Source organism: Homo sapiens, chromosome 12 (genome assembly GCF_000001405.40).
Source record: "Homo sapiens chromosome 12, GRCh38.p14 Primary Assembly".
In the NCBI taxonomy this organism is placed as follows: domain Eukaryota; kingdom Metazoa; phylum Chordata; class Mammalia; order Primates; family Hominidae; genus Homo; species Homo sapiens.
This window is the reverse complement of record NC_000012.12, coordinates 117,859,589-117,883,667: the sequence shown is the minus strand read 5'-3', so window position 1 is coordinate 117,883,667 and position 24,079 is coordinate 117,859,589. Positions and strand designations below refer to the sequence as shown.

The window sequence follows — 24,079 nt, the reverse complement described above, 5'->3', positions numbered from 1 at the left end:
TATTCCAGCTCTGAATTCCCGAAACATACCAAGTGCTTTCCCACCTCAGGGTCTTTGCACACCTTTCTGTGCCTGGCTGCCTGATCCCCTCTGTAGGGAGACTTTCTTTGGTTGGTCCGGGTAGTACCAACTGTCCTTCTCTGTTATATGCTCTGAGCTCTTTGCTGCCACCATAGCACTTATCAAATAGAAGTTCCATGGGGGCAGGGACCAAGCCTATCTTGTTCATAATTTTATCTCAGGATTTAGCCCAATGGTTGACACTTACAGGAAATCAACTTTTCGTCATCTACTATGTGCCAGGCACTGTGAGAGGCATTTTAGAAACATTATCTTATCTGATTCTACTATGTGTTTGGTTGCAAACTGTTTTTTATTATTAATAACAGTAATTATAATTTGTATCACTTGGATGTAACAGTTCTGCATGGCCTGATATGCCTGATGTGATGTAATTGGCTTTTAAGATGATAGTCAATCCCAGTTTCCTTATGTTTTTAATATATGGTGCTAGATGGGTACCAGGAGTGAAATACTTTTATTTGACAGATGGATAGATAGCTGAATGGATGGATGGTTGAAGGGATGAATGGATGGATAGATGAATGGAGGGAGGGAGGGAGAGATGGATGGATGAGTGGTTGGATGAATGGATGGATGGTTGACTGTATGGTTGGATTGAATGGATGGTTGCTTGGATGTATGGTTGGATTGAATGGATGGTTGCATGAATAATTGGATGGATGGATGGTTGGATGGATGAATGGATGGGTGGATGGATGGATGCCTGCATGGATGATTGGATGGATGGATTGTTGGATGGATGGATGAATAAATGAATAGATGGATGGATGAATAAGTGAATAGATGGATGGATGAATAAATGAACAGATGGATGGATGGATTGTTGGATGGATGGATGGATGGGTGGTTGGGTGGGTGGTTGGATGGATGGATGGATGCTTGCATGGATGGTTGGATGGATGGATTGTTGGATGGTTGGATGAATAAATGGATAGATGGATTGTTGGATGGATGGATGGATGGATAGATGGAAGGATGGATGGATTGTTGGATGGATGGTTGGATGGGTGGTTGGATGGATGAATGGATAGATGGCTAGATGTATGGGTGTATGGTTGCAAGGATGAGTGGATGGATGGATGGATGGAAGAATGGTTAGTTCTCAGATCCCTGTAACCATAAAATTCCAGGGTTAAAAGGAACCTCAAGGTTCATGCAGTTCAACATTCCTATCCAAATGTGACTCATCTCTGCTCAGGTGGAAGCCAGTGTGGGTGTGTTTGTGTGTGTAGATGGTAGTTGAACGGCAATTTGGAAATGGGAAGTTATGAGTGCTTGTCAAGGCCTGGCTTATATGCCACCTCCTCCAGAGAGCTTTCTCAGATTGTCTTTCCCAGAAACCATCTCCCTGTCCTTTGAACACTTGGCCTGTGCTGCTACTATGGTGCCTATTGCCCCCTGCAGTGTGCTGAGGGAGCTGTGCACGTCCCTGTCTGCTCCACTGGACTCTGAGCCCCTTGAGAGCCTTGTTGGAAAGTGCAAGGTACTTTCCTCTTAGAGTGGTCTGTCCTTCTCTAACTGCCATGGCATTTCCATCCTGAGACTTACAGTTGCTTTTGAGATTTCAGGGAAATGTATATCCTTTTGTAAATATGCGCAGGACACTCCAGCATCTCTTTGGAGCAGCCCTGAATAGGAGGACTTTGGTACTGGGTGTGTGGCCCTAAACCATTCAGTCTTCTGTTCTCTCTTCTCACAACCTCAAGAAATATTAATATTAATTGGGCAAAGATGCATTGAGTCACTAACAGACCCTGCTGGACTTCAATTCTCAACCTTGGCCTATGGCTCTGTCTCTTCCCAACTCAGATGGTCACCATGGCTTGTGGAAAGACAGCAGCTTTGGAGCCAGACAGGCTGGGGTCAGCTCTGCTGTTGTCCAGCTGGCATTGTGCAAGGCAAGTCAGCTGACCTCCATTTCCTCATTTGTAAAATGAGGATAATGTGGCCAATGTTATAGGTTCATAAGAATTTCATAAGAAGAATTCAAGATATTATACAGAAAGAGCCTGAGCAAAATGGGGAATGTTGTTGTCACTTTCTAGCTGTTGAGATTCTTGGGAGAAATGACACAGCGGGGCTTATAGCACAGACTTGGTGGGACAGTCACCATACTAACAAGGGTTACATAGTGAAAAGGATCTTTCTCTCTGGAAAGAATTGCTTTTCACTTCTGTCTGCTGACAACACCTCATCTCTAGGTAGGAGCAGCTGGTTGGAGTGGCCGGTCTGTAGTGTTTCTGTCTCTTCCTCATCAAGCCCCCTCTGTACCCTCAAACAAACCAAAACAAACACTAACAAAAAGTAACCCAGAGTTGAGACCATGAATCTGAACCCTGGACCAATTAGGCATTTGTGGTTGTTGCTTACGGAAAAGGCCTTCATTCTTGCACATCATTCATTCATTCATTGATTCATGAATCCATTCCATAGTTTTAATTATTCCGGGGAAACTCATCATGTTCATTGTTGGGAGGATGCAAAGATGACAAAAACAAGGCCCCGGCCCTTGAGATACTTGAAATCTGGTATAGGTCGAGTATCCTAATTAGAATGCTCCAAAATCTGCCCTGGGTGATAGAGTGAGACTCTGCCATAAAAAAAAAAATAAAAAGACCAGGCATGGTGGCTCACGCCTGTAATCCCAGCACTTTGGGAGGCCGAGGCAGGCAGATCACCTGAGATCAGGAGTTCGAGACCAGCCTGGCCAACATGGTGAATCCCCGTCTCTACTAAAAATACAAAAAAGTTAGCTGGGTGTGGTGGTGTGCACCTGTAATCCCAGCTACTTGGGAGGCTGAGGTGGGAGAATCGCTTGAACCTGGGAGGCGGAGGTTTCACGTCTCAGAAAAAAAAAAAAAAAAAAAAAAGAATCTGGCAAAATTCTGTCATAAAATAATATGAGGAGGGGTTAGTGGATGTTTACGGCTTCCTCCGGCAGGTTTTCTGGGTCGTCCTTGGCCTAGGGTAAATTTCATGGCCAGCATTCTCTGCCTTGTTTTCCATCCCTCCCAGCCCAGGTCTGCCTCATAACTTGTCTCATTTTCTTCAGGAGCCTGTATTTTCCATTAGGACAATTCTGAATATAATAGAAAGAGTTAAATTTTCTCTTTGGTGGGGGGGCTTGGGGTGCTTTTTCCCAGGAGATCTGCTAAAAAATTGTCTGCAGATTTAGAAGAAACTCCCCATGAGACGATGGCTATATTCTGTGTCTGCACCGTCTAGTACAAGAGCCACTGGCTACAAGCAGCTATTGAGCATTTGAAAGATAGTTGGTGTGATCAAGGAACTGAATTTTTACTTTCATGTAATTATATTTTGGTTTTAGAAATTAATATTTAATTTATTAAAGCAAAAATTCATTCTATTTATTCCTATGCTTTCACACAGTATTGTTCTATTCATATAAATCTTTTTTGTTTGTTTGTTTGTTTTTTGAGATGGAATTTCGCTCTTGTTGCCCAGGCTGGAGTGCAATGGCACAATCTCAGCTCACCGCAACCTCCGCCTCCCAGGTTCAAGCGATTCTCCTGCCTCAGCCTCCCAAGTAGCTGGGATTACAGGCACATATCACCATGCCTGGCTAATTTTGTATTTTTAGTAGAGACAGGGTTTTGCCATGTTGGTCAGGCTGGTCTCGAACTCCTGACTTCAGGTGATCTGCCTGCCTCGGCCTCCCAAAGTGCTGGGATTACAGGCACTGTGCCCAGACCTATTCATATAAATCTAACAAAATCCAGCAATCAGGTATAAGGAGATTTTATATAATGTGTGCTCCCAATTGCAACGTTGGTTAATTAAACATCTTCAAAAAATTTAAACTGCATTTATAAATTTGATATACAGTTTTTTTTCTTTTTTGTTTTTGAGACAAGGTCTCGCTCTGGCGCCCAGGCTGGAGTGCAGTGGCACAATCATGGCTCACTGCAGCCTCCACCTCCTGGGCTCAAGCAATCCTCTGACCTCAGCCTCCTGAATAGCTGGGACTACAGGTGTGTGCCACCACACCTGGCTAATTATTTTTTATTTTTTGTAGAGAGTAGGTTTTGCCACGTTGCCCAGGCAGATATACAGGATTTTAAAAAACTACTCTTTAATTGTTGACAGACAAGCCTTCTCAACTACTTATGTAACCCATAAGCCTGAAAAATTAAACTTATAAATATGCCTAGCCTTAAGTTGCTTTCTATTAATAATATTGTACATAAATTGAATAGAATTTCAATTTAAAATACATGTCTAAATTAGTTATTCAGTTACACATTTCAAATTAGACTTAGAAAGGTGAACTCTTACTCTAACTGGCTAAATTATATAACATTAAAAGAACATAAAATAAAATTCCCAAAATGTATGATCTCTTTAATTCAAATATTAATATCATGGGATTATTTATCTGAAATATACCTATAATTCATTCTGGATCTTCCTAGAACTTCAAGATGCACCCCATTAAGAATACTGGGTTATGTCACACAATTCTAGGGTTAAATTCTAACGAATTTTTTTTCCAGGCAGTAGGAGGGGAGTTGAATTCCCTGATTGCCTGAGGTCGCATAATGACCAGTGATTTCGGTGGGCGTGTTGTCTGGATTTTTTATCCACGACCCCGATAGGATGCATGTTGATTCACTATGCGTCTATGGCCTTTGTTTGTTCACTATGTTGATTGTTTATGTAACTTTTGTTAATTCCAGCGTGACCGTAAATAGCTGTATGTGGTAAGTTGCCTCTCTGTTGGGAGGAGTTCCTCTCTGCAGCTCTAGATGGAACAGCCTCTGTGGCCAAAGTGGGAAGCTGCTTAGCAATTGCTGCAGTGAGACCTGCTTTCAGGACATGTGTGTTTTATCCCAGATTCATCTGCTCTTACCTCGAGTCTGGGATCTTAACTCTGCTTGCTTCTTAGTTCAGCCATAGCTAATAAGGCAACGCATTGCTTACAGTAGCCCCAGCAGCATGTCTCTCTGGCTGCTACTTGGCGTCCTGCTCTCAGTACCCCCAGCAGTGCAGGGGCCACAGGCGTGGAAGTCTCAGAACTTCTGCCTACCTCCTCCTAGCCTTGCCTCCCCTAGTACAGCACCTGCCACCAATTTTTATTTTATTTTTAACAACATCATCTATTTTTTGCCACTTGCAGGAGGTCCCATTGTTCAAAATGTGGGTGCTGAGGGTGGGTCCCCACTCTGCAAGCTGATATTTCTCTGTCCAGCTTGGCCCCCGGTGAATGATTAAGAGGGGGCAGGTAGTGTGTGTGTTATGTGGGGTGGTGACCAGTGGGAGGGAATTTAGGCGGATTGGCTTTGCCCTGCAAAAGCCAGCCCTGGATGAAAGCGTGTGTTATTATTGATTTACTTTTCATGAAGGGCTCTTTGGTTCCAAAAAGGCCGGGAGTGATTAGTGCAGGTTAAGTTTGCCTGAATTCTTGCACGGTGGTGCAAGTTAAGTTTGCCTGAATTCTTATTTTGCCCCTTGCTTCTCTTCCTTCTTTTTGGGATTCTTGGTCTTGCATACCCAACTCAAAGCTGCCCTCTCCACATCTCAGCCCCTCAAGACTCATTCATTTAATCAGATCACCCAATGGGAACTGTGATATTTACAACAAATAAAGAACCCATCTCTCATAGGGCCGGGCGGCAAAGCCCCATGCAGTGGTTCTGAGCTCTGCCTCTGTCTGAGCTATCTGGGGACCTTGTTGACAAGAAAAGAGAAGCCCCTGTCCCCAGGAGTGCCTGATTCCGTAGGCTTGGGTTGGGGCTGAAGCTGGGGCTTGGCATGTGTATTTTTAACAAGCTCCCCAGGTGATCTTGCTACAAAGTTTGACAACTTTGAACTGTGCTATGGAAAAATAAGGAAGGGGACAGGCTTGGGGGCAGCCTCCCTCCTTGTGTTTTATCCATGTGACCTTAGGCAAGTTCCATTGTTACTCTGTGCTTCTTTTTCTCATCTCCAAAATGGGAATAATATGGTTCTTAGCCCTTAGAGTGCATATGACAATTAGATAATATTCATAAAGCACTTAGCACATAGTAAGTGCTCAATAAGACTTAGCTATGATTGTGATTATGAATATATTGTATAATAATTTATCAGTAACAGCGTTATTAACACAAAGCAGTAGGCACAGGGCTAGCATATAAAAACTATCAACAAATGTGAGTTTTATTATTATAAATATATAATACAGGTTGAGCATCCCTAATCCAAAATTTAAAAAGTAAAATGTCCCATAATCGGAAAGTTTTTTTTTGAGATGGAGTCTTACTCTGTCACCCAGGCTGGAGTGCAGTGGTGCGATCTTGGCTCACTGCAACCTCCACTTCCCGAGCTCAAGCGATTCTCCTGCCTCAATCTCCCAAGTAGCTGGGATTACAGGCGCCCACCACCATGCCCAGCTAATTTTTGTATTTTTAGTAGAGACAGGGTTTCACCATGTTGGCCAGGCTGGTCTTGAACTCCTGACCTCAAGTGATCCACCTGCCTTGGCCTCCCAATAATCGGAAACTTTTGAGCACTGGCATGACATCACAAGTGGAAAATTCCACACATAAAAACTTAACACAAACTTTGTTTAATGCAACACACTAAAAATACTGTACAAAATTACCTCCAGGTTATGTGTATAAGGTGTATATGAAACATAAATGAATTTCGTGTTTAAACTTGGGTCCCATCCCCAAGATAGCTCATGATGTATAATGCAAAGATTTCAAGACCTGAAAAAAATCTGAAATCTGAAACATGTCTGATCCCAAGTATTTCGGATAAGGGATACTCAACCTGTGTATGTTGCATAATATAAATATTGTTATATATATATAAATATATATATTTCAAATTATATTATGTATTATATATGAATTATCACATATGGGAGATCTATGACTGCTATGATGACATTATACAGTATACATATATAGTATAAATATGACATAATGTATTATTGTGTAAATGTTAAAATTATAAGGATCGTGTAAGGAAGTTATTACTACTGGACCTGCTGTCTAGTAAGTGCTCATTAAATATATAAACCCTTTTTTCTATTGTTTGTAATATCCATCAGCAGTAATAACGTAGAGAAAAGGAAAAACCATCAGCAATAGTGAGACAGCGGAGAGGGGGGCTCTTCCTTCCTGCAGAGGCAGCTGCCTGTGTTCCAGCATTCGGCGGGACTGCCCCAGACTGTTGGGTCCCTCTGCCTGGCCTCAGGGATCCGGTTCTCATTGGGATCCAGGGCTGGGGAGAGAAGGAAGGGCGCCTCTCCCAGGCCTCCAGCCCTCCCTCAGCAGGGGATTTTCTTGTGGATGCAAATTGGCCGGTTACTTGAGACGTTCTCCAGTCAAATAATTCTCTCCCCCGTCAGCTGGGCCGCCAAGCGCCAGGGATGTTATGACAATGGTCGCCCTGGCAACGGCGGGAAGGCGTCGGGGCTGCTGGCTGTGGCTGCCGCGATTTCATTACCCGCACGGGGTCTGCTCACCCGAGAACCTTAATAACACAACCAGGGACCCGGTCCTGCAGGTGCACTGTGCCCGCTTGGAAAAGGACTTGGGATTTATTTTTAGTGGCCTGGCGTTTAACCACCAAGGATGTTGGTTTATTGAAAGACCAAGAAAAATGTATTGAGCACCGACTGTATGCCAGGCACGGATCTGAACGCTGGGGAAATGACAGGCAAAGCCCGTGCTCTCTTGAGCTGACATGATGGGTGTGTGGTGGTGGTGGGGGGGAGGCGTAACCATGGAAACCAATAAACAGGATGATTTGTGAGATAGCAAAGTGCCACCAAGGAAAGAAAGCAGGGCGGCGTGATGGTGGCATTGAGAGGAGCTTGGGCAGAGGTGACACCTGAAGGAACGGAAAGGGCTGTTTATGCCTAAAGCTGACAGAAGAGCTCTCGCCGGTGGGACAAGCAAGTTCAAAGGCTGGAGCTCTTTGCTGCTCATGTGTACCTTTAGGGAGAAGGCAGCGATTATGGGGTGCTGACGGGCAGTCCTGAGGGACACAGAGGGCTCTGGAGCCTGCCTCTTTATGTGTGTGACCATAAGGCCAGCCCTGTTCCATTACTGAGCCTCAGTTTTCTCGTGTGTAAAATGGGCTGAGAGCCAAGCCCCTTCCCTTGGCGCTGCTGCGAGGTTTACACCAGGGATGGTTCTTGCAAGGGCCTGGTCCCTAGAAGGCCCCCATGGTGTCCTGCATTCCCTCCCAGCTTTCACGGACTCCGCTTTCGTTCTTAAAAAAAAAAAAAAAAAATAGCACCTAAGGGGTGAGGATTTGGAGCTCTGTCAAACCCAACGGCCAGGACGTTCCCGGAGGTCTCTGGGTTGGATTTGGGTTTAGATTCGGAGTGAAAAGTTCCCCATTTCACATTAGGGATTTCAGACACAATTATTTTTAGCTCTGTCACATGTCTTGACTTTTTGATTTTTTTTGTTGTTGTTGTTTATGCTGCTAAATTTACCGCCATGCTAATACAGAGTACAGTAATAAGGCGCTGCGGATGCTCGGATGGGCCAAGGCCCGGAAAATTTTCCATCTGTCGTGGAAGGTGCCAGGCTGCCCCCTGGTGTGGAGATGGAAAATTACACCTCCGGGCTCCAGCTCCGTCGGATTTCCGCAACCTGTGATCCCTCTAACCCCAGGCCCAGGGGACCTCATTCTACACCTGGGCAGTGCAGAGTCAGACGGTGGGCTCGGCTTAGATGTGCTATTTCCAAAAGTCCTGTGTTTCTTTATTTGAAGATGGAACCTTTGGGTTTTTTTTTTTCTTCTTCTTCTTCAGTTTGGCTCTGCATGGACTTGAATTGAGGTCGACCTAAATATCAATTAGGCCGCCTGGCAGGGTGAAGCCATACAAAGGCCCTTTTCTAATTGTGCTTCTCAACCGTTGATGGTCTGTTTCAGCAGAGAATCGTGAAGAGAGCACGGGACTGGGAACTAGAGGTCCTGAGTTCAAATCACGATCCCGATGCTGCTTTATCTGTGTGATCACGGGCACAATTCCAGCAATTCCAAGGCCTGGTTTCCCCATCTGTAGAATGATATTTACAATCGGGCCAGGTACTGTGGCTCATGCCTGTAATTCCAGCACTTTAGGAGACCAAGGCAGGAGGATTGCTTGAGGTCAGGAGTTTGAGGCCAGCCTGGGCAACATAGCAAGACTCTACCTTTACAAAAAATGAAAAAATTAGCTGGGTGTGGTGACACACGCTTGTGGTCCTAGCTACTTGGGAAGCTGAGGTGGGAGGATTGCTTGAGTTCAGGAGGTTGATGCTGCAGTGAGCTATGATTGTGTCACTGCACTCCAGCCTGGACAACAGAGCAAGACCCTGTCTCAAAACAAGTTGAAAAAAAAAATCTAACACTCACTTCAGCATTGTCATGATACTCAAGGAACCATTCTGGAAAATAATTTATTTAGAGATGTTGGTAGATTAAGATGAATACCTGAAATTCACCGAGTAGAAGGGTCAGTGCCTTTCCCGCCTTCTGCGGTAAAGAAAGAATCAGCTTTATCTTTTCTGACATTTTGCAGCCAATACTTTTGTGAAATAGAATAAAGATGATTTGCGAGGGAAATGAAATGCAAAAAAACGCAAACAACATCCAGTGCTCACTTTGAAAAAATTAGATTGAATAGACATAAGACTACTCCATCAAATAGCTATAAAAGTATCTAAATGCTCTCTCTTGATTTCTGTGCTTATCCAAAGGTACAGATAAGGCACCTGTCTTCAGGTGCCACCTGAAATAGCCCACCTTAAAGGCAGGGGTGGTGTGTAGTTGATTTTTGTATCCCTTGTTGTCTGTATTTTGAAAGCACCTCAGCCAGGCGCCGTGGTTCATGCCTGTAATCCCAGCACCTTGGGAGGCCAAGGCAGGCGGATCACTTGAGGTCAGGAGTTCGAGACCAGTCTGGCCAACATGGTGAAACCCCATCTCTACTAAAAACACAAAAATTAGCCGGGTGTGGTGGCACGCACCTGTAATCCTAGCTACCGGGGAGGCTGAGGCACGAGAATCGCTTGGACCCGGGAGGTGGAGGTTGCAGTGAGCCGAGGTCATGCCATTGTACTCCATCCTGGGCAACAGAGTGAGACTCCATCTCAAAAAAAAAAAAAAAAAGCACCATGAACATCTTTAAATGAACGAATGAGGCCTTGCTTCTCTTAGAATAAACGTGGAGCTCCCATTATTATTATCTTATGATATGGAACATGGCCTTTTTTTTTTTTTTTCTTTTGAGACAGAATCTCGCTCTGGTGCCCAAGCTGGAGTGTAGTGGTGCATATCGGCTCACTGCAACCTCCGCCTCCCGGGTTCAAGCAATTCTCCTGTCTTAGCCTCTGGAGTAGCTGGGATTACAGGCATGCGCCACCATGCCCTGTTAATTTTTGTATTTTTAGTAGAGATGGGGTTTCACCATGTGAGCCAGGCTGGTCTCAAACTCCTGACCTCAGGTGATCTGCTTGCCTCGGCCTCCCAAACTGATGGGATTACAGGCCACTGTACCTGGCGGGCACATGGCTTTTTAAAAGGCGTCTCTCTTGACTTGGCATCCTTGATGCCCGCACTGAACCCTGGCTGCCCTTCTGTTCTGGTTCCTGCCACGTGGCCTTGTGATTTGCATTTGCACATCTGTCTTCCCTGCCCACTGGGAGCCCCTTCAGGCCTGGACAGGTGCTGACTGCTTTGGAAGCTGCTTGGAAAATGAGCCTATTGTACAAATGAGCCCACAGCCCTTGGAGAGGGGACTGATTGTTGAGGGTGCTGAACCCTGGCTTCTAGAATGGGGTTTCTGCCCTGTGTTTATTGTCCAAGGACCCAGATCCTTCGGCTTGACTGAGAAACTACTTTCATTATGTAATTGTTCAGACAGTAGAGGGATGTTTCTCATGCTTGCCTGATTCTTGGAACCATTAGAGTCCTCAGTGTTTTCACAGATTCCTGGGCTGTCTCCAGATTCACTGAATCAGAATTTCTAAGAGATGGGCCTAGAAATTTGATTTTTTTTTTTTTTTGGAGACAGCGTCTTGCTCTGCTGTCCCTGTGGGACTGCAGTGGTGTGATTCATGGCTCACTGCAGCCTGGAACTCCTGGGCTCAAGGGATCCTCTTGCCTCAACCTCCCCAGTAGCTGGGACTACAGGTGCACAGCACCATGCCTTACTAATTTTTAATTTTTGGTGGAGATGGGGGTCTTGCTATGTTGCCCAGGCTGGTCTTGAACTCCTGGCCTTAAGCGATCCTCCAGCCTCAGCCTCACGAGTAGCAATGTTTGATTTTTAACAGACATCTTCAGTTGAAGCTTATGATTGGAAACTGAGGAAAGAGGGAAATAATGTGAAATTATCTAGTACCTTGGGTGAGCTGCCTAAACCCTGTGGTTCTCTGTTTTCACATTTGTAAATAAGATGGGGTTATTATTGAGGCTACTGTGATGGTTCAGTGAAATAATGTATCAAGTACGTAGCAGAATGCCTGGCATATTTATTTAATGCCTGTCATACTTATTTAATGAGATGGCTGACATTAAGGATGGCCTGTGTGTCTTTATGATTGGCAAATGTCTGATTTTCAAGTGATTTGTAACTTACTATCATATAGGTAATTCAGGCTTATAGAAAAATAAATGGGGAATAGTGGCTTGTGCCTGTAATTGCAGCTATTCAGAAGGCTGAGGTGAAAGGATTGCTTGAAGCCAGGAGTTTGAGACCAGCCTGGGCAACATACCAAGACCCCCTCTCTTAAAAAAAATCCATATCTTATTGAAAAATTATAAGATATAGAAGGACAGAAATAAGAAAATAAATTTCACCTATCATAACCCAGAGATGCAGTTGCCAGCCTTTTTTCTCTTTTCTCTCTCTCTGTGTGCAAATATATATATCTATCTATCTGTATAAATGCATTTTGCATTCAGAAACTAGGGTTATACTATACCTTTTGTTTTGGCTGCTGTGTGGTTTCATCTGACATTTTTTTTTTTTTTGAGACAGGGTCTCATTCTGTTGCCCAGGCTGGAGTGCAGTGGCACGATCTCGGTTTCCTGGTTTACTGCAACCTCCGCCTCCTGAGTTCAAACAATTCTCGTGCCTCAGCCTCCTGATAAATGGGATTACAGGTGTACGCCACCACACCCGGCCATTTTTTGTAGTTTTAGTAGTGACGGGGTTTCACCATGTTGTCCAGGCTGCTCTTGAACTCCTGACCTCAAGTGATCCTCCTGCCTCGGTCTCCCAAAGTGCTGAGACTACAGGTGTGAGCCACCGCGCTTGGCCTGGCGTGACATTCCTTGTGTGTTAATAAGAGTTTGTTAGACTTGGGTTCAAATCCCAGTTTATCCGCTTAGTAGCTTGATGACCTTGGGCAAGTTATTTGACACTTCTAGGTCTCAATTTCTTCCTTTGTACAATGGGGACAGTGATTGGACCCATATCACATTCCTCCAGCGTTGTGGAAAATTAAAGAAGATAATTCATAAAACGTGCTCATTACAGCATTTGGCTCGAAGCATATCCCTGTTAACTGACAGCTACAGTTTTTCTGCAACATTAATCCTGGAAAACTAGGAGAAAGAGCTGCTCTTTCCCAGGATCCCTGTTTGGGAAGCACTGCTCGATCTCTGCCCAACACAGCTTCACACTCTGTGCAGTTTTCTGGGTTTTTCCCTGCTCGGCTGAGTACACTCTTGTTCCCCAAGATGATTCTCATTCCCTTTTGCCTCAAGGGCAAGGCCAGAACTCAAGGCCACTGTCCCCACTTGTCTCCTTTACTCCATCTGCTTCCTAAACTCACTCCTCCCATTTCTAATGTATCATAATTGGAGTACCCCTTGGTTCTAGCTCCTTGGCAAGCGCAGGATCTCAGTCTCTTGGTGACCTGGGAAACACCTCCCCAGAATCCACATCCCCCTTCAACAAGTAGGACATGAGTGTATGGGGTATCTACTGCACAGATAATTTTTTTTTCTTTTCTTTTCTTTTTGAGACAGTGTCTCGCTCCGTCTTGCCCAGGCTGGAGTACAGTGGTGCGATCTCGGCTTACTGCAGCCTCTGCCTCCAAATCCAAGCGATTCTCCTGTCTCAGCCTCCCGAGTAGCTGGGACTACAGGCATGTTCCACCACACCCGGTTAATTTTGTATTTTTAATAGAGATGGGGTTTCACTATGTTGGCCAGGCTGGTCTTGAACTCCTGACCTCAGGTGATCCACCCGCCTCTGTCTCCTAAAGTGTTGAGATTAAAGGTGTGAGCCACCACGTCTGGCTGAGAATATCTTATGTAATGCCTCAGCAGGCCTGCGAGGAAAGGTGGAATACACCTGTTTTACAGATGAGAAAGTGGAGGCTCAGAGAGCTGAAGTGACTTGCCCAAACCTCAGAGCTAGAATTCGGGAATTCACTTAGAAGGCTTCCTAAGATGAATAAGGCCCTCTCTCTGCCCCTGAGGGGTCGATGCCCAACTTTTGCACTTCCAGGTCAGTGGGAAGGAGCCGTGAACAGCTCCTAGCATAGTGTCCTGGTAAAGAGACAGAGCTTTGGGATCACACCCTGGTGCTCCCATTTCAATAGCTCTGTGGATCTCAGCAAATGATTTAGCCTGTTGAAGTTTCAGTCTTCCTGTTTGTAGAATGGGCTGAAAGTACCAGCCTCACAGCTAGCATTGTCACATGGATTAAAAGGAACAAACACATTCACGGCACTTGGCTTGCGATGCCAGGCATACTGTAAATGTTTAGTACATGGCAGCTGTGATGGTGGCTGTTATTCCTGAAAATGCTTTATTGTCGTTGACAAAGGCGTCCCAGCAGACATCACAGAACTGCTCACATCATGGGCTTTTCACCCAGGTATCAAAGGAATCCTTCATGCAGAAGATTAAAAAGAACGAGGCAGATCTGTACGAACTAACGGGGAAAGACCCTCAGGGCTTACTACTAAGTGAAAAAAGCAAGTGCACAAAAGTGCATGCTGTATGATATCATTTATGTGAGAGGAAAAAAGAAATCGTCCACAGAAAGCCACATTGCAGAGTTTCAATAGATCTGTATGTATTTGTGAAAATTCACAGATCAACATCTGGAAAGATGGGCACCTAACTAGTCTCAGTGATTACCCGCTCTACCTCCAGGGATGGGGATCTGCATTCGTGGGAGCGGTCAAAGGGAGCTCTGGCCTTATCTGAAATGCTCAAACTTTGTTTCTTTCTTTTTTTTGAGATGGAGTCTTGCTGTGTCGCCCAGGCTGGAGTGCAGTGGCGTGATCTCTGTTCACTGCAACCTCCGTCTCCTGGGTTCAAGCAATTGTCCCACCTCAGGCTCCTGAGTAGCTGGGATTATAGGCGCCCGCCACCACACCCATCTAATTTTTGCACTTTTAGTAGAGTTGGGATTTCACCATGTTGGTCAGGCTGGTCTCAAACTCCTGACCTCAGGTGATCCACCCACCTCGGCCTCCCAAAGTGCTGGGATTACAGGCGTGAGCCACCGCGCCTGGCCTGAAATGTTCTAACTTTCTTACAAGGAAAATATATGCGGCCAGGCATGGTGGCCCACTCTTATAATGCCAGCACTTTGGGAGGCCGAGGTGGGAGGACCACCTGAGGTCGGGAGTTCGAGACCAACCTGGTCAACGTGGCACAAAACCTCATCTCTACTGAAAATACAAAAATTAGTTGAGTGTGGTGGCACGCACCTGTGGTCCCACCTACTCGGGAGGCTGAGGCAGGAGACTCGCTTGAACCTTGGAGGCAGAGATTGCAGTGAGCTGAGATCACGCTACTGCAGTCCAGCCTGGGTGACAGAGTAAGACTCTGTCTCAAAAAAAAAAAGAAAAGAAAATATATGCATGCATTTATTAAATAATTAAAATAAATTAAAATGAGGTTATCCTTTCTGTAACTTTGGAGTGTTTGAATTAGACTGGGTTTGAATCTCGGCTCTGCACTTACTAGCTGTGTGATTGTGAGCAAATGACTTAACTTCTCTGTGCCTAGTTTCTTCTTTGGTACAATGTAGATGTTAATAGGACCTAGTTCCTGGGAATGTAAGGATATATTGAAATAATGCATGTGTGACCTTCAGCATGGGCCTGGCACATGGGGGAAGTGCTCAGTAACGGTACTTTTATTTTTATTGTTTTTTCTTTTTAATTTTTTTTTTTTTTGAGACAGAGTCTTGCTGTGTTGCCCTGGCTGGAGTGCAGTGGCGTGATCTCGGCTCACTGCAACCTCCACCTCCTGGGTTCAAAAGATTCCTACCTCAGCCTCCTGAGTAGCTGGGACTACAGATGTGCACCACCATGCCTGACTAATTTTGTATTTAGTAGAGACAGGGTTTCACTATGTTGACCAGAATAGTCTCGAACTCCTGACCTCAGGTGATCCACCCACCTTGGCCTCCCAAAGTGCTGGGATTACAGGCATGAGCCACTGTGCCCGGCCGTATTTTTATTGTTATATTTATTTCATTTACTCTTCCAAATCTAGCAAGGACACCTTAACCCTTTAAGGGATCTAGTGTCTTCTTTGTCAGTCAGTTATAATGCAAGAAAAATTGTGAATAATTCTATAACACAGTGTGTATAAATAAAGTCCCAAGAAAGAATTTATAAAGTCCCAAGAAAGAATTTATAAGGTCCTGCTGGAGCAGGTGGCATTTGAGGTGGGCTTTGGAGAAAAATTCAGATTTTCATGCGTTGATGTGGTGGTGTATCAGTTAGCTACGGGTCCCCATAATGCTGTGTAACAAACACAAAACCCCAGTGGCACATAACATAAGCATTTATTGGCCATGCCTCTGGGATCAGCAGTAGATTGGTGGCTCATCTGATCTGAGATGGCCTCACTTATAGCCAATAGCCAGGCAAGAGTTGGCTGTCAACTGCGCTAGGATGGTTTTGGCTGGGACGTCTGGGAAAACCTGACTCTGCACCATGTAGTCTCTTATCCTTCAGCTGACTAGCCTGGGCACATTCTTATGAAGATGACAGGGGTCCAAGCCAGCAGGTAGAAGCACACAGGCCTCCTATTGGCCGAGGCAAGTCACATGGCCAGCGTCATTGAAAAGGCGTGGACACAGACTGCACCTCTTTGGTGAATTAACTGCAAAGTGACATTGCAAAGGGTATGGACACAGGAGGGGTGTAAAGGATTCAGGTCATTTTTATAGCCTTCCTCAGGTGGGTGTGGAAAGGACTTCCAGACAGGAGGAATCAGAGAGGTGACATTTGGGGTCCTGCATGTGTTTAGGGAATTTTCCCTTTTTTTTTTTAAATACAAGGTCTCGCTTTGTTGCCCAGGCTGTAGTGCAGTGGCATGAACACAGCTCACTGCAGCTTCGACCTCCCAGGCTCAAGCCATCCTCCCACCTCAGCCTCCTGAGTATCTGGGACCACAGGCACACAACACCATGCCTGGATCATTTTTGTATTTTTAGTAGAGACAGGGTCTTACCATGTTGGCCAGGCTGGTCTCGAACTCATGAGCTCAAGCGATCCTCCCACCTTGGCCTCCTAAGGTGCTGGGATTGCAGGTTTGAGCCACTGTGCCTGGCCCTGTTTAGGGAATTACATGGAAATGAATGAGGCAAGGAAGGAGAAATGGAGTAGGGTTAAGCCCCAAGTAATAGTTTAAGGAGTCAGAACTTTCTTTTGTAGGACAGTGTTTCTCCAAATGCATCAGTTTGATACCACCATCATACTTTTTGCCATATCTGTGTATTTTCTTTAAATCGACTCATTTTTTTTTTAATTTTTTTTGAGACTGAGTATTGCTCTTGTTGCCCAGGCTGGACTGCAATGGCATGATCTTGGGTCACTGCAACCTCCGCCTCCCGGGTTCAAGCGATTCTCGTGCCTCAGCCTCCCGAGTAGCTGAGATTACAGGCATGCGCCACCATGCCCGGCTAGTTTTGTATTTTTAGTAGAGATGGGGTTTCTCTATGTTGGTCAGGCTGGTCTCAAACTCCCGACCTCAGGTGGTCCACCAGCCTCGGCCTCCCAGCGTGCTGGGATTATAGGCGTGAGCCACTGTGTCCGGCCGAATCAACTCAATTTTTTAACATACATGTATTTAAAAATTAAGCCATGTGTAACTATTGTAATGGAAAACTAGTATCACTTGGCATAAATGGAAGGCAATGAAGAAAATAAATGCAATGTAACACAAGTGTCATGAAATTGTGTTGCATATTGTTATCTGCCCAAGGCTCTGAGACTGTGTCCTGTGCTCCGTTATAAAGAGAGCAGTGGCCCATGCCTATAATCCCAGCACTTGGGGAGGCTGAGGCAGGAGGAGTGCTTGAGTCCAGGAGTTAGAGACCAGCCTGGGCAACCAAGTAAAGCCCGTCTCTACAAAAAATTAAAAAAGGCGTGGTGTGGTGGCCCATGCCAGGCATGGTGGCACATACCTGTTGTCCCAGCTACATGAGAAGCTGAGGTGGGAGGATGGCTTGAGCCCAGGAGGTCAAGACTGCAGTGAGCCATGATCATGCCACTGTACTCCATCCTGGGCGACAGAGTGAGAATTTGTTTCAAAAAAAAAAAAAAAAGAGAGAGATTAGCAAGTGTTACAGAGGTTAGAGAGTTGTTAAAGACATAGTATCATTCAACAGAGACTATCTCCTTGATATAGTCAGATGGCTGGAGAAAAATTTGGACAGAGAAGAAAGTGCTCGCTATGCTATATGATACGATGTTATTTAACACTATGCCTGGGTACCACCTCTCAAGTTATCAGTGATACCTACAGTTGGGAAACACTACTATTCTCCAGCAGATGTTTGCATAAGGTAGTACCATGGTTCCACTGGTCCTGCCATTTAACTTCTGGTCTTAGCCTAGTTTTTCAATTTTCTGTGACTTTTTTAAAGGCACGAGGCATGACGTCACTGGCTTCCAAGTTGATATTACCTCTTTTGTTTAAGAAATTGAGGCTGGGCATGGTGGCTCACACCTGTAGTTCCAGCACCTTGGGAGGCTGAAGTGAATGGATTAGTTGAGCCCAGGAGTTCAAGACCAGCCTGGGTAACATGGTGAGACCCTGTCTCAGAAAAGAAAAGAAAAGAAGTTGATAAAGCATGGTCATTTATTATTATTTTTTAAAGGGACCAGATCCTTATTTCTTTTGCAATGTTTGAAATACAACATAGGCATACATAGATATAGAATAATGAACAGTAAAACGTCATTTATTCAGAAGAAAAGGCTGAGGAAAACCACTTGGTAAAAAGCCCGATTTGCAGATATTGCCAATGATGTAAGTTTGTATATCTTTCATGTAATTTCTATAAATAGGATGGATTAAGTTAAACCCTACTAATTTCAAAATCAGAACTTAAATTACAAATTAGGAAGACACAGTTTTCTATCCGATTAAAAGTACATTATCTTGCAGTATAACTGTAACCTGTACTTTAAACAAACTAGATAAATGATATATTTGGCTTTTAAAGAATGTTTAGTAATTTAAACCTGATTAGTTTTTTATTTTATTTTTTAAATTAATTAATTATTTTTATTATTTTTTGAGATGGAGTCTCGTTCTGTCACCCAGGTCCCTTATCTAGGATGAATGCAGTGTCTTTGCAGACAGATGGTCAGACGGGGGTGGTCAGGGCTTCATTCTTGCTTTTGGTGTCTTTCAAACGTCCATGTTCTGGTTCCAGTTGTGATCCCTCAAGATTCAAATGTTGAAATCCTAATCCTCAATGTCTCAGAATATGACCTTATCTGGAAATAGGGTTGTTGCAGATGTAATTAGTTTAGATGAGTTCATACTAGTCCAATATGGCTGATGTCCTTGTAAAAAGGGAAAATTTGGACACAGTCACACATACAGGGAGAATGCTATGTGAAGATTGAAGTTTGGCTGCCACAAGCCACGGGATTCTCAGAAGTGAGGAGAGGGGCCTGTAGCAGGGCCTTCCGCAGTGCCTTCAGGGGGAGCATGGCCTCACCGACACCTTGATTTCAAACTTCTAGCGTCCAGAATGGTGAGACTGGAAATGTTTGCTGTTCGAATCATCCAACTTGTGGTACTTTGTTACAGCAGTCCTAGTAAACTAATGTAGCCCAGAACTCACGTTTTGGAGTAAATCTCAGTCCCTTCAGTGGATAATCTAGGCTATATATATATGTGTGTGTGCGCAATGCATGTATGTATACATATACACACATTTACATCAACATTTATTTTTATATCTATATGTATGGGGTAACTCTTCCCAAACCAATACCACAGGATTTAGTCTAGCTTTTCCTATCCCACATCCGTGTCATTCTTCTCAGACAGGAAGAAAAATAATGCTCAGTAGATTTGTTTATTTGCTCAGTTTTCTGTATTTACCTAATCTCCCCACTTCATTGGGCCATTGCTATTTCTGGATGCTCTTCTTGGATGGTTGTCTCATGGGGCCCTGACCTCTGCTGGGGCTGCCTTTCCTCAGCCCCTCCCCTCTCCTCCAGGTAGAGTTGAACCACTTGCCCGGGTAAGTGCACAGGTGTGGTGGGCTAAATAACAGTCCCCCAATCATTTCTACCTCCTAATCCCCAGAAGTTGTGATTGTGTGACCATACATGGGAAAAAGGACTTTGCAGATGTAAGATAAGGATCTTGAAATGGGGAGATTGCCCTGGGTTGTCTGGGTGGGCCCCAGATCATTGCAAGGGTCTGTATAAGAGGGAAGTAGGAGGGTAAGGGGCAGTAGCAGGAGATGTGGTGATAGAGGAAGTGGAGTGATGTGGGGAAGGGGCCAGAAGCCAAGGGATGCGGGCGGCCTCTGATCACCGAAAAGGGAAGGAAACTGATTCTTGCCTGGAGCCTCTGGAAGGAACCAGCCCTGTTGACATCTTGACTTTAGCCCCGTGAGACTGATTTGGGACTTTTGATCTCCAGAACTGCGAGATCAGTATGTTTGTGTTGTTTTTAGCCACTTAGTATGTGGTTATTCATGACAGCAGCCACAGGAAACCAGTATACCAGGGATGCCAAGACTCCCTCAAGGAGGTGGATTCGATGTTCTTTAATTTCCCTATGAGTCAGGAGGCTTTAGCAACAGAAATCCAGCTCACTGCAGCTTAAGCAAAAGAAGAGAATTTATTAGCACACATCACTGCAGAGTCCAGGGAGATCTGGTTTCTCCGCTCACTGCTGGGGCTCAGATGATGGGTGTGGCTGGGAATGTGACTCCATCTCTTGGCTCTGCTGTCTTCTAAATGGGCTTCAGTGTCAGGAGGCTTCCAGATGGCAGCAGGGACGATGGTCCAGGCAGCTCTTGTCTTCCATGACACCACCTGGCAGCTCTTTAGGGTGTGCTATGGCTATGTCTTGAGTGCTTGGAAGAGGTCCTGGTGGGGTCTCAGTGGCCCAGTTGGATCCATGATTGCCCTTGACCCAAGTACAGCTGTTTGGTGGGGCCTGGGTCACATGCGCATCCTGCAGCTGTGATGGGGTGATACAATGGGAACAGCCTCACATCAGCCGGATGGACTGTGGGCCAAAGAAGGGAGGTTCCTTGAAAGAAAGTTGACATGTTCTTTTCGGTAAAAGGGGGAATGGAAGGCCGGGTGCGGTGGCTCACGCCTGTAATCCCAGCACTTTGGGAGGCTGAGGCAGGTGGATCACGAGATCAGGAGATCGAGACCATCCTGGCTAACACGGTGAAACCCCATCTCTACTAAAAATGCAGAAAATTAGCCAGGCGTGGTGGCAGGTGCCTGTAGTGCCAGCTACTCGGGAGGGTGAGGCAGGAGAATGGAGGGAACCCAGGAGGCGGAACTTGCAGTGAGCCGAGATCGCGCCACTGTACTCCAGCCTGGGCGACAGAGCGAGACTCCGTCTCAAAAAAAAAAAAAAAAAAAGGGGGGGAATGGAGACCAGATAGCAAAAGCAACAGAAGCCCATGACAACCATCCCAGGCTCCAAGTTTTGTTTTGTTTTGTTTTGAGTGATGGTCTCACTCTGTCAGTTAGCATTGAGTGCAGTGGTATGATCATGGCTCACTGCAGCCTCCACCTCCTGGGCTCAGGTGATCCTCCCACCTCAGCCTCCTGAGTGAGGATTTTTATTTTATTTTATTTTATTTTTGTAGAGACAGGGTTTCACCATATAGCCCAGGCTGGTCTCAAACTCCTGGGCTCAAGCAGTCCTCCCGCCTTGGCCACCCAGAGTGCTGGGGTTACAGGTGTGAGCCACGGCACCTGGCCCTCCGAATTTTTTGATCCTAGAATTCAGACTTTGTTCTTGATAAATGTTGGTTGACTGTGTTTTAAAATGCCACAGACACCTCCATACCTAATTCTAATTTTGTTTTATTTAATTATCTTTATTAAATACATTTTAAATTAAAAAGATGATAATATAGGCCAGGTTTGGTGGCACTCACCTGTAGTCCTAGCTACTTTGGTGGCTGAGGCAGGAGGCTCTCTTGAGCCAGGGAGTTCAAGGCTGCAGTGAGCTATGATTGCACCACTGCACTCCAGCCTGGGCAACGGAACAAGGCCTTGTCTCTTAAAAAAAAAAAAAAAGATGATAATATATTATATCTCAGGTAACTACTGAATGCATACAAAAAAATGTATATAAAGAAATACTTGACCCAAGTTAGAAGCCTGGAGTTTATTCTTCCAAATTGTTTTCTCTGCTCAGACACACAGGTATTGCCTTTCTTTGGTTAATGTTGTGAGATTTTACAAACTCAGCAATAAAAAACTTTCTTTTCTCATGTTATGGGATCCCTCCAGAGGCCTGGGTTCAGGTCTATCTCATTTTAAAAGAGTTAATTTTGGGATGCTTTTGTAGGACTTACAGTTCAAACAGCACAAAAGAGTTTAAATAAAATGTTTCCCCCACCCTTTTTCCCCACCCTTCCTCTTCCCTCCCCTAAAGAATTGGGAGTCCTCGGCTGGGCGCGGTGGCTCATGCCTGTAATCCCAGCACTTTGGGAGGCCGAGGCGGGCAGATCCCCAGGTCAGGAGATCGAGACCATCCTGGCTAACATGGTGAAACCCCGTCTCTACTAAAAATACAAAAAATTAGCCGGGTGTGGTGGCGGGCGCCTGTAGTCCCAGCTACTCGGGAGGCTGAGGCAGGAGAATGGCGTGAACCCGGGAGGCGGAGCTTGCAGTGAGCCGAGATCACGCCACTGCACTCCAGCCTGGGCGACAGAGTGAGACTCCATCTCAAAAAAAAAAAAAAAAAAAAAAAAAAAAGCGAATTGGGAGTCCTTGTGGACAGAGTTTCTGTATTTACAAAGATATACACAGGGAAACATTTTCCTTATGAATGGGAGAGTATTTATTTTTATTTATCAGTGTACCCTGGAGACTGCTCTCTGGCAGTACAGAGCCTGCTTCGTGATTTGATTTTAGAGCTGCATAAGTTTCTTTGTTGGCTGTAGCATCCTTTATGTAACGAGTCTCCTACTGATGGACTCTCAGAATGTTTGCAGTCCTTTGCTATTGCAAACAGAACTGTAGGGAAGTAGCCTCTTGTACAGTCCTTCTGCACAGGATGGGTGTCTGTTGGAGGAGTTCCTGCAAATGGAATTGTTGGATCAAAGCATGTGTGCAGGCCGGGCGCAGTGGCTCACGCCTGTAATCTCAGCACTTTGGGAGGCCGAGGCGGGTGGATCACATGGGGTCACGGGTTTGAGACCAGCCTGGCCAACGTGGTAAAACCCCATCTCTGCTAAAAATACAAAAATTAGCCAGGCATGGTGGCGCGCGCCTGTAATCCCAGATACTTGGGAGGCTGAGGCCGGAGAATTGCTTGAACTTGGGAGGTGGAGGTTGCACTGAGCAGAGATCACGCCATTGCACTCCAGCCTGGGTGAAAGAGCAAAACTCCATGTCAAAACAAAAGAAAACAAAAACAGAAAAAGATGTGTGCAATTGTGAGATCAAAAGGCCCTCCACTGAACTGGTACTAATGTGCGCCGCCTCCCCCAACCCCAAGCAAGATGCTAGAGCCGCCTGTTTGACCATCTTCACCAACGAGGTGGAAAGATGGGTGCCAAACTGGATCTCACTGTAGCGGAACCAGTCTTTAAAATAGAGTTGGCTGGGTTTAGGGTGGGGGTTCGTAGGGGGTTCTCGCCTCTCTTCCTTGTGTCACTGCCTCTGAGATGTGTCCTCTGTCCTCGTCTGTGTCTCCACAGAGCAAGCTGGTGAAGTACTTCAGCCGGCAGCTGTCCTGCAAAAAGAAGGTAGCCTTGCAGGAGCGCAACGCGGAGCTGGACGGCTTCCCCCAGCTACGGCACTGGTTCCGAATCGTCGATGTGCGCAAGGAGGTCCTGGAGGTGACCTGGGGGGCCCCTGTGTCCCCTGCCCCTTACTGGCCAGCAGCTACCCCCTGTGTTGCTCTTGAGCTGCAGGTTTCTGGCTGTGCCCAGCACAGTCCCTGGCACATAGCAGGCTCTCAATAAATATGTGCTGGACGAAAACATTCAGGATCGCTGATGCTGTCTGAATGGGGTCATTGAGAGTGTGCTTCCAGAGTCAGTTAGAACCCTCCAGCTCTGCCACATATTCACAGAGTCACCTTGGCCAAATCACTTCACTTCTTAGTCCAGCGCTGTCCAGTGGAACTTTCTGCTACGATGGAAATATTTTCTATCTGTGCTGCCGGCTGTGGTAGCCACTTGTGGTTAGGACATGTGATTGAGATTTTAAATTGTGTTTAACATTAATTAATGGGGCCCGTGGCTGCCATATCGAACGATGCTTTCTTAGAGCATTAATATTACCATCTGTGAAATGTGCATAATGATTGTCATCTCTTCTTAAATAGCCGACATCATAGAATGAGATGATTTTTATAAAATGTTCAACTCAGCTGGGCGCAGTGGCTCATGCCTGTGATCCCAGCACTTTGGGAGGCCAAAGCAGATGGATCGCTTGAGCACAGGAGTTTGGGACCAGCCTGGGCAACATGGCGAAACTCCATCTCTACAAAAAATACAAAAATTAGCCGGGTGTGGTGGTGCATGCCTGTGGTCCTA

General features: G+C 45.5%; 1 protein-coding gene across 7 annotated transcripts in view, besides 1 other annotated feature; it reads left to right on the top strand.

Moving 5' to 3' along the window:
* KSR2 (kinase suppressor of ras 2) overlaps nt 1-24,079 on the top strand; it is a 515,979-nt gene that overhangs the window by 85,323 nt on the left and 406,577 nt on the right. For 6 of the 7 annotated variants that reach the window (XM_011538224.4, NM_173598.6, XM_017019208.3 and 3 more), the window contains exon 2: nt 23,237-23,377. In XM_011538224.4, coding sequence (XP_011536526.1) covers nt 23,237-23,377 — 141 coding nt within the window. Of the gene's footprint in view, nt 1-7,169; nt 7,985-23,236; nt 23,378-24,079 lie in introns of those variants that run through there. The other variant, XM_011538225.4, reaches the window with a different exon arrangement.
* Nucleotides 7,806-8,606: an enhancer, noted in NCBI's record as "H3K4me1 hESC enhancer chr12:118312867-118313667 (GRCh37/hg19 assembly coordinates)". NCBI's record gives its function as "activates a minimal SCP1, AML or CMV promoter by ChIP-STARR-seq in naive H9 embryonic stem cells {active_cell/tissue: H9 hESC(naive)}" and the evidence as "EXISTENCE:reporter gene assay evidence [ECO:0000049][PMID:30033119]".